A 13,796-nucleotide genomic window follows, 5' to 3' on the forward strand; every position below is an offset into this window, starting at 1 on the left:
TGGGAAAACTGGATATACATATGCAGAAGAAGGAAACTAGACTCCATCTCTTGCCATATACAAAAATCAAATTAAAATGGATTAAAGACTTCAATCTAAGTCCTCAAACTATGAAACTTTTACAAGAAAACATTGGTGAAACTTTTACAAGAAAACATTGGTGAAACTTTCCAGGACATTGAACTGGGCAAAGATTTCTTGAGTAATACCCCATAAACACAGGCAACCAAAGCAAAAATGAACAAATGGGATCATATCAAGCTAAAAAGCATTTGCACAGCAAAGGAAACAATCAACAAACTAAAGAGACAACCCACAGAATGGGAGAAAATATTTGCAGACTAGCCATTTGACATGGTTAGGCTTTGTGTCCCCACCCAAATCTCATATTGAATTGTAATTCCCATAATCCACATAATCCCCAAGTGTCAAGGGAGAGACCAGGTGGAGGTAACTGGATCATGGGGGTAGTTTCCCCATGCTGTTCTCATGATAGTGAGTGAGTTCCCACGAGATCTGATGGTTTTCTAAGGGGCTCTTCCGACTTCACTCAGCACTTCTCCTTCCTGCCACCTTGTGAAGAAGGTGCCTTACTTTCCCTTCACCTTCCACCGTGATTCTAAGTTCCCTGAGGGCTCCCCAGCCATGCTGAACTATGATTCAATTAAACCTCTTTCTTTATAAATTACCCAGTCTCAGGCAGTTCTTTATAGCAGTATGAAAACGGACTAATACACCATCTGAAAAGGGATTGATAGCTAGGATATATAGGGAGCTCAAGCAACTCTATAAGAAAATAATCTGTAATCCAATTTTAAAATGGACAAAAAGATCTGAATAGACAATTCTCAAAAGGCATACAAATGGCAAACAGGTATATGAAAATGTGCTCAACATCATTGATCATCAGAGAAATGGAAATCAAAACTACAATGAGATATCATCTCACCCCAGTAAAAAAAAGCTTTTATCCAAAACACAGGTAATAACAAATGCTGGCAAGGATGCGGAGAAAAGGAAACCCTACCTAGTACACTGTTGGTTGGAATGTAAATTAGTACAACCACTTTGGAGAAAAGTTTGGAGGTTCTTCAAAAAACTCAATATAGAGCTACCATATGATCTAGCCATCCCACTGCTGGGCATATGCCCAAAATGAAGTAAATCAGTATATCAAAAAGATATCTGCCCTCCCATGTTTGCTGCAGCACTGTTCACAATAACCAAGATTTGGAAGCCACCTAAGTGGCCAACAACAGATGAATGGTTAAAGAAAATGTGGCGCATATACACAATAGAGTACTATTCCACCACAAAATAATGAGATCCTGTCATTTGCAACAATATGGATGGAACTGAAGGTCTTTATGTTAAGTGAAATAAGCCAGGCACAGAATGACAAACTTTGCATGTTCTCATTTATTTCTGGGAGCTAAAAATGAAAACAATTGGACTCATGGAAAGGGTAGAACGATGGTCCCTAGAGACTGCGAAGGGTTGGGTGGGGGGCAGAACAGCCCAAGTAGGAATGTTTAATGGGTACAAAAAATAGTTAGATTAAGTAAGATCGATTATTTGATAGCACAACAGGGTGACTACAGTCAATAATAATTTAATTGTACGTTTAAAAATAACTAGATTCAGGAGATCATGGCAGACTGGAGGCAGGACTAGATTGCAGCTCTGGACAGAGCACCATGTGGAGGCTTGCACTGTGAATTTTAGCCACAGATTAACTGCAATAACAAACCAGCAATCCCGAGATGACCCACAGACGCTCTGAAGGAAGCGGACTGCTCCTGCAGGACCCAGGAGACACCCCAAACACTGTGAGTGCCCCAACTGTGGAAGTGGGAAAGGGAGACCATCCTCTCCCAAACACATCCCCCACCGGGGAAGCTGAAGGTCTGTTTGTGGGAGAAGTTTCTGACTTTACCTGGAGCTGAGTCAAGTTAGAGAGCTGAGTGAAATGCAGGGGTAAAGGAAGCAGCAGAAAGGCCCTGGGGGCTCACTGGGTCCCCAAGCAGCCCATTCCTGCTTGGCACCACAGGCATCCATTGGGAGGGTGGTCAGAGGAGTAGGGGATAAACAGGGAGAAGGAATTCTTTAGCTGAACTTTGTAACAATTTGAACAGGGAAAGAAGCCTCCTGGCCAGAACTCAGGGGAGGGCACAAATATCACAGGTAGGGGAAGAACTAAATCCCTTTTCTCTTGCAGCTGAGAGGTGGATTGCCTTGGGCAAGTTTTCAAGCCCATTTTGCCCTCCATCTGGGAACAGACTCAGAGTTGTTGGGGAAGGGGGCACGGTGGGAGTGAGACCGGCCCTTCAGTTTACTTGTGAGTTGGGTGAGGCCTCTGACTGCCAGCTTTCCCCCACCTCCCTGACACCCTGCATGACTCAGCAGATGCAACCATAATCTTCCTATGTACAAAACTCCAGTGATCTGGGAATCTCACCCCTATCCTCCACAGCAGCCTCAGCAAGACCCACCCAAGGAGCATCTGAGCTCAGACACTCCTAGCCCCACCCCCACCTGGTGGTCCTTTCCTATCCACCCTGGTAGTGGAAGACAAGGGAGTTCTAGGACCCTGCCCACCACCAATTCCTCTCCACACTACTACAGCTGATGCTTTCTGGAAAGCTCCACCTCCTGGCAAGAGGCCAATCAGCACAAAGAACATTAAACCACCAAAGCTAAGGACCTTCACAGAGTCCATTGCACCCTCCGATATCGCCACTGAAACAGGCGCTGGTATTGCTGGCTGAGAGACCCATAGATGGTTCACATCACAGGACTCTGTGCAGACAACCCCCAGTACCAGCCCAGAGCCAGGTAGACTCGCTGAGCGGCTAGACCCCAGAAGAGACACAACAATCACAGCAGTCTGCTCACAGGAAGCCACATCCATTGGAAAAGGGGGAGAGTACTATATGAAGGGAACACCACGTGGGACAAAAGAATCTGAACTACAGCCTTCAGCCCTAGACATTTCCTCTGATTGAGCCTACCCAAATGAGAAGGAACAAATAAATCAACCCTGGTAATATGAAAAAAGGAGGCTCTTCAACACCCCCTCAAAATTATACTACTTCACCAGCAATGATCCAAACCAAGAAGAAATCCCTGATTTACCTGAAAAAGAATTCAGAAGGTTAGTTATTAAGCTAATCAGGGAGGGACCAGAGAAAGGTAGTCCAAAAAATGATACAAGAAGTGAAGGGAGAAATATTCATGGACATAGATAGCTTAAAGAACAAACAACAAAAAATTCAGGAAACTTTGGACACACTTTCAGAAATGCAAAAGACTTTAGAAAGTCTCAGCAACAGAATTGAGCAAGTATAAGAAAGAAATTCAGAGCTCAAGGACAAGGTCTTCAAATTAACCCAATCCAACAAAGACAAAGAAAAAAGAGTAAGAAAATATGAATAAACCCTCCAAAAATTCTGGAATTATGTTAAACGACCAAACCTAAGAAAAATCAGTGTACCTAAGGGAGAAGAGAATTCTAAAAGCCTGGAAAACATATTTGGGGGAATAATTGAGGAAAACTGCCCCAGCCTTGCAAGAGACCTAGACAGCCAAATACAAGAAGCACAAAGAACGCCTGGAAAATTCCTCGCAAAAAGATGTTCGCCTATGCACATTGTCATCAGGTTATCCAAAGTTAAGAAGAAGGAAAGAATCTTAAGAGCTGTGAGACAGAAGCACCAGGTAATCTATACAGGAAAACCTATCAGATTGACAGCAGATTTCTCAGCAGAAGCCCTACAAGCTAGAAGGGATTGGGGATTTATCTTCAGCCTCCTCAAACAAAACAATTAACTGCCAAGAATTTTGTATCCAATGAAACAAAGCATCATATATGAAGGAAAGATACAGTCGTCTTCAGACAAACAAAGCTGAGAGAATTCGCCATTACCAAACCACCACTACAAGAACTGCTAAAAGGAGCTCTAACTCTTGAAACAAATCTTGGAAACACACCAAAACAGAACCTCATTAAAGCATAAATCACAGAGGATCTATAAAACAAAAATACAAGTTAAAAAGCAAAACAAAACAAAACAAAACAAAAACCTCAAACTACACAGGCAACAAAGAGCATGATGAAAGCAACTATACCTCATATTTCAATAATAACATTGAATGTAAATGCTGTAAATGTCCCACTTAAAAGATTCAGAACAGCAGAATGGATAAGAACTCACCAAACAACTATCTGCTGCCTTCAGGAGACTCACCTAACACATAAGGACTCACATAAACTTAAAATAAAGGAGTGGAAAAAAGGCATTTCATGCAAATGCACACCAAAAGCGAGCAGGGGTAGCTATTCATATATCAGACAAAACAAAAAGCAACAGCGGTGAAAAGAGGGACAGTATATAATGGTAAAAGAGGGACAAAGAGGGACAATACATAATGGTAAAAGGCCTTGTTCAACAGGAAAATATCACAATCTTAAACATATATGCACCTAACAAATGGAGCTCCAAAATTTATAAAACAATTACTAACAGACCTAAGAAATGAGATAGACAGTAACACAATAATAGTAGGGGATTTCAATACTCCACTGACAGCACTAGACAAGTCATCAAGAAAGAAAGTCACCAAAGAAACAATGGGTTTAAACTATACCTTGGAACAAATGGACTTAACAGATATATACATAACATTTCATCCAACAACCGCAGAATACACATTCTACTCAAGAGCACATGGAACTTTCTCCAAGATAGACAATATGATAGGCCATAAAATGAGTCTCTATAAATTTAAGAAAATTGAAATTATATCAAGCACTCTCTCAGACCATGGTAGAATAAAACTGGAAATCAACTCCAAAAAGAACCTTCAAAACCATGCAAATACATGGAAATTAAATAACCTGCTCCTGAAAGAGCACTGGGTCAAAAACAAAATCAAGATGGAAATTAAACAATTCTCCGAACTGAATGACAATAGTGACACAGCCTATGATAACCTCTAGGATACAGCAAAGGCAGTGCTAAGAGGAAAGTTCATAGCCATAAACGCCCATATCAAAAAGTGTGAAAGAGCATAAACAGACAATCTAAGGTTACACCTCAAGGAACCAGACAAACAAGAACAAACAAAACCCAAACCCAGCAGAAGAAAGGAAATAACCAAGATCAGAGCAGAACTAAATGAAATTCAAAACCAAAAAAATACAAAAGATAAATGAAACAAAAAGCTGGTTCTTTGAAAAGATAAATAAAAAGGAAAGACCATTAGCAAGATTAAACAAGAAAAGAAGAGAGAAAATCCAAATAATGTCACTAAGAAACAAAACAGGAGATATTACAACTGACACCACTGAAATACAAAAGATCATTCAAGGCTACTATGAACACCTTTATGCACATAAAATAGGAAACCTAGAAGAGATGTATAAATTCCTGAAAAAATAAAATCCTCCTAGCTTAAATCAGGAAGAATTAGATATCCTGAACAGACCAATAACAAGGAGTGAGATTGAAATGGTAATTAAAAAATTACCAACAAAAAAAATCCAGGACCAGATGGATTCACAGCAGAATTTTACCAGACATTCAAAGAAGAATTGGTACCTATCCTTTTGACACTATTATACAAGACAGAGAAAGAAGGAACCCTCCCTAATTCATTCTATGAAGCCAGCATCACCCTAATACCAAAACCAGGAAAGGGCATAACCAAAACAGAAAACTATAGACTGATATCCTTGATGAACATAGATGCTAAAATCCTTAACAAAATACTAGCTAACAGAATTCAAAAACATATCAAAAAGATAATCCACCATGATCAAGTGGGTTTCATACCAGGGATGCAGGTATGGTTTAACATACGCAAGTCAATAAATGTGATACACCACATAAACAGAATAAAAAAGAAGAATCACATGATCATCTCAACAGATGCAGAGAAAACATTTGAAAAAATCCAGTATCCCTTTATGATTAAAACTCTCAGCATAATTGGCATAAAAAGGACATACCTCAATGTAATAAAAGCCATCTATAACAAACCCACAGCCAACATAATACTGAATGGGGAAAAGTTGAAAGCATTCCTTCTGAGAACTGGAACAAGACAAGGATGCCCGCTCTCACCACTCCTCTTCACCATAGTACTGGAAGTCCTAGCCAGAGCAATCAGACAAGAGAAAGAAATAAAGGGCATCCAAATCGGTAAAGAGGAAGTCAAACTGTCACTATTTGCTGATGATATGATCGTTTACCTTGAAAACCCTAAGGACTCCTCTAGAAAGCTCCTAGAACTGATAAAATAATTCAGCAAAGTTTATGGATACAAGATTAATCTACACAGATCAGTAGCTCTTCTATACACCAACAGCCACCAAGCAGAGAGTCGAATCAAGAACTCAACCCCTTTTACAATAGCTGCAAAACAATAAAATACTTAGGAATATACCTAACAAAGGAGTTGAAAGTCCTCTACAAGGAAAACTATGAAACACTGCTGAAAGAAATCATAGATGACACAAACAAATGGAAACACATCCCATGTTCATGTATGGGTAGAATCAATATTGTGAAAATGATCATCCTGACTAAAGCAGTCAACAAATTCAATGCAATCCCCATCAGAATACCACCACCATTCTTCACAGAATTAGAAAAAATGATTCTAAAATTCATATGGAACCAAAAAAGAAAAAGAAAAACACGCATAGCCAAAGCAACACTAAGCAAAAAGAACAAATCTGGATGCATCACACTACCTGATTTCAAACTATACTATAAGGCCATAGTCACCAAAACAGCGTGGTACTGGTATAAAAATAGGCACATAGACCGATGGAACAGAATAGAGAACCCAGAAATAAAGCTGAATACTTACAGCCAACTGATCTTTGACAAAGCAAACTAAAACATAAAGTAAGGAAAGGACACCCTTTTCAACAAAAAAAGAGAAAGTTTAGGTTATTAATTTGAGACTTTTCTTCTTTTGTAATATAGACATTTAAAGCTATACATTATTCTCCAACCACTTCATTAGATGCATTCCATAGGTTTTGAACTCTTATGTCGTTTTTTAAGTTTTAATTTCTGTGGGTACATATTACATGTATATTTATGGGGTATATGGAATATTTTGATACAGACATGCAGTGTGTAAAAATCACATAAGGGTAAATGGGGTATCCATCACCTCAAGCATTTATCCTTCGTATTACAAACAATCCAATTATATTCTTTTATTTATTCTTTTTTAAAAAAATTTTTGAGACAGATTCTCGTTCTCTTGCCAGGCTGGAGGGTAATGACATGATCTTGGCTCACTGCAACCTCCAACTCCTGGGTTCAAGCGATTCTCCTGCCTCAGCATCCTGAGTAGCTGGAATTACAGGCATGTGCCACCATGCCTGGCTAATTTTTGTATTTTTAGTAGAGACAGGGTTTCACCATGTTGACCAGGTTGGTCTCAAACTCCTGACCTCAAATGAACCACCCATCTCAGCCTCACAAAGTTCTGGGATTACAGGCATGAGCCAATGCACATGGCCTATTCTCTTTTAGTTACTTTATTTTTCTGTAAGTTATTGGGATACAGGTGGTATTTGGTTACATGAATAAGTTGTTTAGTGGTGATTTGTGAGATTTTGGTGCACCTATTACCCAAGCAGTATACACTGCACCATATTTGTAGTCTTTTATCCCTCGCCCCCTCCCACTCTTTCCCCCAAGTTGCCAAAGTCCATTGTATCATTCTTATGCCTTTGTGTCCTCATAGCTTAGCTCCCACATATCAGTAAGAACATACGATGTTTGGCTTTCCATTCCTGAGTTACATCGCTTAGAGTAAGTGCTGTTGGGGAGGTTGGCCAATGACTGCTCTAATTGCTTCCCGCTAAATTGGGGTGTAGTAGGGGTCGTGCAGTTGAGATTTCCTCGGAAGCCGTGCCTTCAATGTCATCAACATCAGAGCATGGGCTAGCAGGCCGGTCCAGGGGTCCGTGGTAGATCTTAGCCATGGACTGCATCTGGGGCTCTATTTTAAGAAGCATTTGTAGTTTTACAGCTTCGATTCTGCAAGAGACAAGCTTAACAAGGAGGTTAAAGATACAGGGATTGAAATGTATGGCCTGAAGTGCAGGGTCATATAGGTGTGGGTGGTGAAAATGGGGTTTCCTTTAGAAAAACTCCTATACGATGGGTCATCAATATTTCCAGGAAGCCGCATTCTCCATAGAAGCTCTTGGTAATGGGAGCTACTGGTAGTACAGTGGCATGGAGGGGGTTCAGTGAGAGTGAAAGGGGGTAAGAGAACAGTAAAGAAAAAAATATGACAAGGAGGGCCATGAGGATCTACGATTCTAGTTACTTTCCTCACGGTTGTCGCTTGAAGAGCAGGTGCAGATCCTCTAGAGGTTCACAGGAATAGCTAGCGTTGTCTCCTGGATTTTCGGGTTCCTTTGGCAGTATACAGAGTTTGACTCGAGTGTGATGTATTCAAGACTCCACTCCAGCCACTTTAACCGCAGTTGGGGTAGATAAAATGACTGGGTAGGGTCCTTCCCAGGATGTATCTAAGGATGGGGACTTAGAAGGAAGGGACTTGACTAATACCATGTCACCAGGGTGCAATAATTACTTTCCCTCTTCTCGGGAACAGGTTCCCTGTAATGTTTTAAGAACTTGTTGATATTTGGCCAAGGAGGTGATGTCTGCAACTAAGCTGGCCATCTCTCGGTCAAGCACAAGGTCCTTGGTTAGGAAGGGCCATCCATACAGCATTTTGTATGGGCTAAGTCCTGCTTTTTGGGGAGAGTTTTGGATTCTTAGTAAGGCTGTAGGCAACAGAGCAGGCCATGCAAGGTGGGTTTCTTGGGTTAGCTTTTTTAAATGTCGTTTGAGTGCTTCATTCATTTTCTTGACTTTTCCTGAGGATTGTGGCCTCCAGGCGCAGTGTAAGTGATATTGTATGCCTAATGCCTGGGATACTCCCTGGGTTACTGTAGCCTTGAAAACGGGGCCATTGTCACTCTGTAAGCCTCGGGGAAGTCCGAATCTGGGAATTATTTCATGAATTAGTGCCTTTATTACATCTTGGTCCTTTTCTGTCCTACAAGGGAAGGCCTCTGCCCAACCAGTGAAAATATCTACCCAGACTAGTAGATACTGAAATCCCTGAGATTTGGGCATGTGGGTAAAATCTAGTTGCCAGTCTTCTCCTGAGTAATGGCCTGTTCTTTGCTCTCCTGGAGGAGCTTGGTGATAAGGCAGGGGATTATTTATTTGGCACACTTCACAGGCCCTGACTATCTGCTTGATAGTTTTGAAAAGGCCTCGTCCAGTAAATAATGATTTGGCCATCTGATGGGTGCTATCAATGCCCAAGTGAAAGGTCTGGTGAAGGGTTTTAAGTAATTTCCATTGGTTAGCTGCAGGCAAAATTATTTTTCCTTCTTCAGTGGCTAGCCATCCTGAGGGGAGGAAACTATGTCTTCGTGAGGTTCCCCATTCTATTTCTTCTGCTGAGTACTGGGGCTTGGTCTCCTGGAGGGGATTACCCCATACTAGGAGTCCTTCTATAAGCATTTGTAATGGAGGGTCCCACCTTGCGGCTCTTTTGGCTTCAATATCCGCTTGGCAGTTCCCTTCTATTTCCCTTTCCTTTCTTTTCTGATGACCCAGGCAGGGTAAGACTGCCACCTCTTTAGGTTTCTATACAGCCAACAATAATCTCCTAATGGCTTCCTGATGTTTGATAGGTGTTCCCTTGGAAGTTAGGAATTCCCTTTCTCTCCATATTGCTGCATGGGCATGGAGGACTAGGTAAGCATACTTAAGAGTCTGTATTTATATTTACCCTTTTTCCTTCTCCTAATTCTAGTGTCCGAGTGAGAGCTATTGGTTCTGCCAGCTGAGAGCTAGTTCCTGGAGTGAGGGGATTACTTTCAAGTATTCCATTATCACGGACCACTGCAAACCCCGCCTTTCAAAGTCTTTTTTCTACAAAGGAACTTCCATCAGTATACAAGCTGTGGTCGGGATCAGTCAAGGGAACCTTTAGAAGGTCTCCTCAAGTGGTGTAGGTTGGAGCAATCACTTGACAGTTATGTTCTATCTTTTCTTCATTGTCTGGAAGAAATGTGGCTGGATTAAGAGTTGCACAAGTGCACAGTCACAGCAGTGGCCCTTCAAGTAAAAGAGGCTGATATTTAAGCAAATGATTGTCTGACAGCCACAAGTCTCCTTTAGCAGTGAGTACGCTGTTCACATCATGAGATTTCCACACAGTAAGATCTCTTCCCTGTATCATTTTAACTGCTTCAGAGACTAAGACTGCTACTGCTGCCACTACCCGTAAACAGTGAGGCCAACCCTTTGCCACTACATCCATTTCCTTACTGAGGTATGCCATGGGTTGCAAGCTGGCCCTCGGACCTGTGTCAGGACTCCTAGGACTCCTAGAGCTATTCCTGTTTTTTCTGTGACATATAAAGGAACGTCTTGTCCCATTGGCAAGCTTAACACTGGGGCTTGGGTTAGGGCCTCCTTTAGAGCCTGGAAAGCCACTTCTGCTTCAGGTGTCCATTCTACTAAATGGGTATCAGCTTTCTGAGTTTTCTTAATTAGTGTGTATAATGGCCTGGCTATTTCGCTGTACCTGGGAATCCATATTCGGCAGAAGCCTGTTATGCCAAGGAACCCTCTTAATTGCTTTGGGGTTTTGGGATGAGGATAAGCTGGTATAGGCTGAATACGTTCCTCACTGAGGACCCTGGTGCCTTTGGATAATTTTAGCCCTAAGTATTTAACCTTCTGTGAGCAGAGCTGAGCCTTTGGTTTGGAAACCTTGTAGTCACAGGTGATGAGGAAGTTTAAGAGTGCTTGGGTGGCTTGATGGCACAAGGTTTTTGAACGGGCAGCTAAAAGTAAATCATCCACATATTGAAGGACAAGACAGTCCAAGTATGAGAACTGGCTCAGTCTTGGGCTAATGACTGGCCAAATAGATGGGGGCTATCCCTGAACCCTTGGGGTAAAACAGTCTAGGTGAGTTGAGACGTTGGGTTCGAAGGATCTTCAAAGGCAAACAATAATTGAGAGTCAGGATGTACAGGGATGAAGAAAAAGGCATCCTTAAGGTCCAGAAGTGTAAATCACTCTGCTTCCTCTGGTATTTGGGAAAGCAGAGTATAAGCGTTAGGCACAGCTGGGTATACAGGGACAACAACCTCATCGATAATCCTGAGATCTTGCACTAACCTCCACTGTCCGTTGGGTTTCTGTACTCCTAAAATTGGAGTACTGCAGGGGCTATTGCATGGTTTTACTAGGCCTTGGGCTTTTAGGTCCTTAACAATCTTTTGGAGTCCTTGATCGGCCTCGGGTCTAAGGGAGTACTGCCTTTGGTAGGGAAAGGAGGCAGAATCCTGTAGTTTAACTTGAATGGGATGGGCATTCTTCGCTCGTCCATATTGTCCTTCTGTTGCCCAGACTTCAGGATTAATTCCTTCCTCAAGCAGAGGACAACAAACTTGTGTTCCTTCTCTTATGTTCAGGTGTATAATGGCCCCTGCTTTGGCTAGAATCTCTCTGCAACAAAGGAGTGGGTCTTTCAGGCATAATTAGAAAGCCATGTGAAAAGAGTAAACTTCCTCTTTTCTAAGAAACTAGGAAAGAGCAAAGTAAATCTAAATAATACAAAAAGAATGAAGAGTAGAGCAGACATAAATAGAATAGAGGACAGAAAAAAATAGATAAAGGTCAATGAAACCAAAAGTTTTTGAAAAAAAAATCAACAAATTTGACAAAACGTTAGCTGCAATGACCAAGAAAGAAAAAGATATAGGACTCAAATCACTAATATCAGGAATAAATGAGGGGACATTACTAATGACCTAGGAAATTAAAGATAATTATAGGGAATACCGTGAACAACTGCCTACCAACAAGTTACATAATTTAGATGCGATAGACAAGTTCTTAGAAGACGCAAATTACTGAAAGTGACTCAAGAAGCAGAAAAGCTGAATAGAACAATAACAACTAAAGAGATTGAATTCATATTTAAAAAAAAACTTTTTTACTAAAAATTCCATACCCAGATGCCCTCATTAGACAATTATGCCAAACATTAAAAAAGAGTTGACACCAATACTTTACAAACTCTTCCAATAAATAGAAGAAGATGAAACACTTTTCAATTCATTCTGTGAGGCCAGCATTACCTTGATACCAAAACTAGACGAAGACATCTGACGAAAACTACAGAATAATATCTTTATTAGTGCAGATGCAGAATACTTAACAAAATTCTAGCAAACTGAGTAAAGTAACATATAAATGGATTATAGATAATGATCATGTGGGATTTAACCCAGGAATACAAGATTGGTTATATACACAAAAATCAATCCATGTAAAATACTATATTAACTAAACAGTGAAGAAAAAAAATCATGATCACCTCAGTGGTCCCAGAAAAGCTTTGACCAAATTCAGCATACTTGCATGATTTAAAGAATCATCTCAACAAACTAGGGTACTTTCTCAATGTGGAAACTGCATCTACAAAAAACCCATCGAACATCATACTTAAAGAATGAAAGACTGAAAACTTTCCCTGTAAGATCAGGAACAGGACAAGAAATGTCTGGCTTTTCCACTTCTATTCAACATTATATTGGAGATTCTAGCCATGACAATTAGGCAAGGAAAAGGGTGGGGGGAAATTAATTCAGACTGGAAAGGAAGAAGTAAAACTATCACTGTTCATGCATGATATGATGTTGTATATGTGATTTTGAAATCAAACTTCAGAAGAACAGATCCCATGGTATTTCTAGGTTTCCAGAGGCCTCCAATAACTTTCATTTCATAATCACATGAGGTCTAATCTTTACATTTCAAAGATGGCCTTCATGATCCATAGCTTCTTCTCTTGTACTTAAGAGTTGAGGAAGTAGTGCTGAATGTAGGAGTTGATGACACTTTATTGGGGAACATAGATCTCAAAGTCAGAAACTGGGAAGATCAGGAATAAATTGGCAAGCAGAGGCCGAGGCAGTTTCGAGCAGGTAGTTCACTATAGAGTGGAAAACTGTGTGGGCATCAGAAGCCTGTTTTTTTATGAAGCCAATGGTGTGGTGTGAGAAAAGGCCCGATGAGTTACAGGAGAAAGGCCTAAGCATTAACCATGAGACCTTCTATCTCTAGATCCAACCTTTCATGACTGCGCGCCCAATACTTTATCAGTCTTCTTCCCTCTGGTCTCTATCTAATTCCTTTATGAACTCTTGTCTTCACAGTACTAGATATGGAAGTTGAATATTCCGCTTCCATACACACAGTCACACACACACACATATGTGCATATACACATATATGGATGTGTATATATATTTTCAGGCTGCAACAGACACTTACTGATGTTGAGAGAAACTCCAGTATCTGAGAGACTGGAAAGAATGTGGGACTGAAGAATGACCTGAAGATTTCTGCTCTCCTATCCAGTACCCTCTCCACTTAAAGATGAATATTTCCATGAACACTCAAGAAAATCTTGCTAAATAATTGGAATACAGGGATGAATATTGTAGTCCCTGGCTCTCAGGGACCTTACTCTCTAGTGGAGGTGGCTGGACATATAGCTAAGAACTGGGAGTGGGAAATTATTCAAACCAGCTTCTGAGTATCCACTCTTGATTTATAGGCCTAGTTGGCTCAGCCAATCTGGATCACATACATACTGAGTCCAATCAGGATATAATTTAAACACGTCTGAGTTCCAAGCAAGCTAGTAGCCCT

General features: G+C 40.8%; 2 annotated features.

The window, feature by feature from the left end:
- Nucleotides 1,612-2,811: an enhancer, noted in NCBI's record as "MED14-independent group 3 enhancer chrX:131057048-131058247 (GRCh37/hg19 assembly coordinates)". NCBI's record gives its function as "activates an origin of replication core promoter dependent on BRD2, BRD4, P300/CBP and CDK7 cofactors, and independent of MED14, by STARR-seq in HCT116 cells {active_cell/tissue: HCT116}" and the evidence as "EXISTENCE:reporter gene assay evidence [ECO:0000049][PMID:35650434]".
- Nucleotides 2,091-2,590: an enhancer, noted in NCBI's record as "H3K27ac hESC enhancer chrX:131057527-131058026 (GRCh37/hg19 assembly coordinates)". NCBI's record gives its function as "activates a minimal SCP1, AML or CMV promoter by ChIP-STARR-seq in naive H9 embryonic stem cells {active_cell/tissue: H9 hESC(naive)}" and the evidence as "EXISTENCE:reporter gene assay evidence [ECO:0000049][PMID:30033119]".

This window comes from Homo sapiens, chromosome X, assembly GCF_000001405.40.
Source record: "Homo sapiens chromosome X, GRCh38.p14 Primary Assembly".
Classification (NCBI taxonomy): Eukaryota; Metazoa; Chordata; class Mammalia; order Primates; family Hominidae; genus Homo; species Homo sapiens.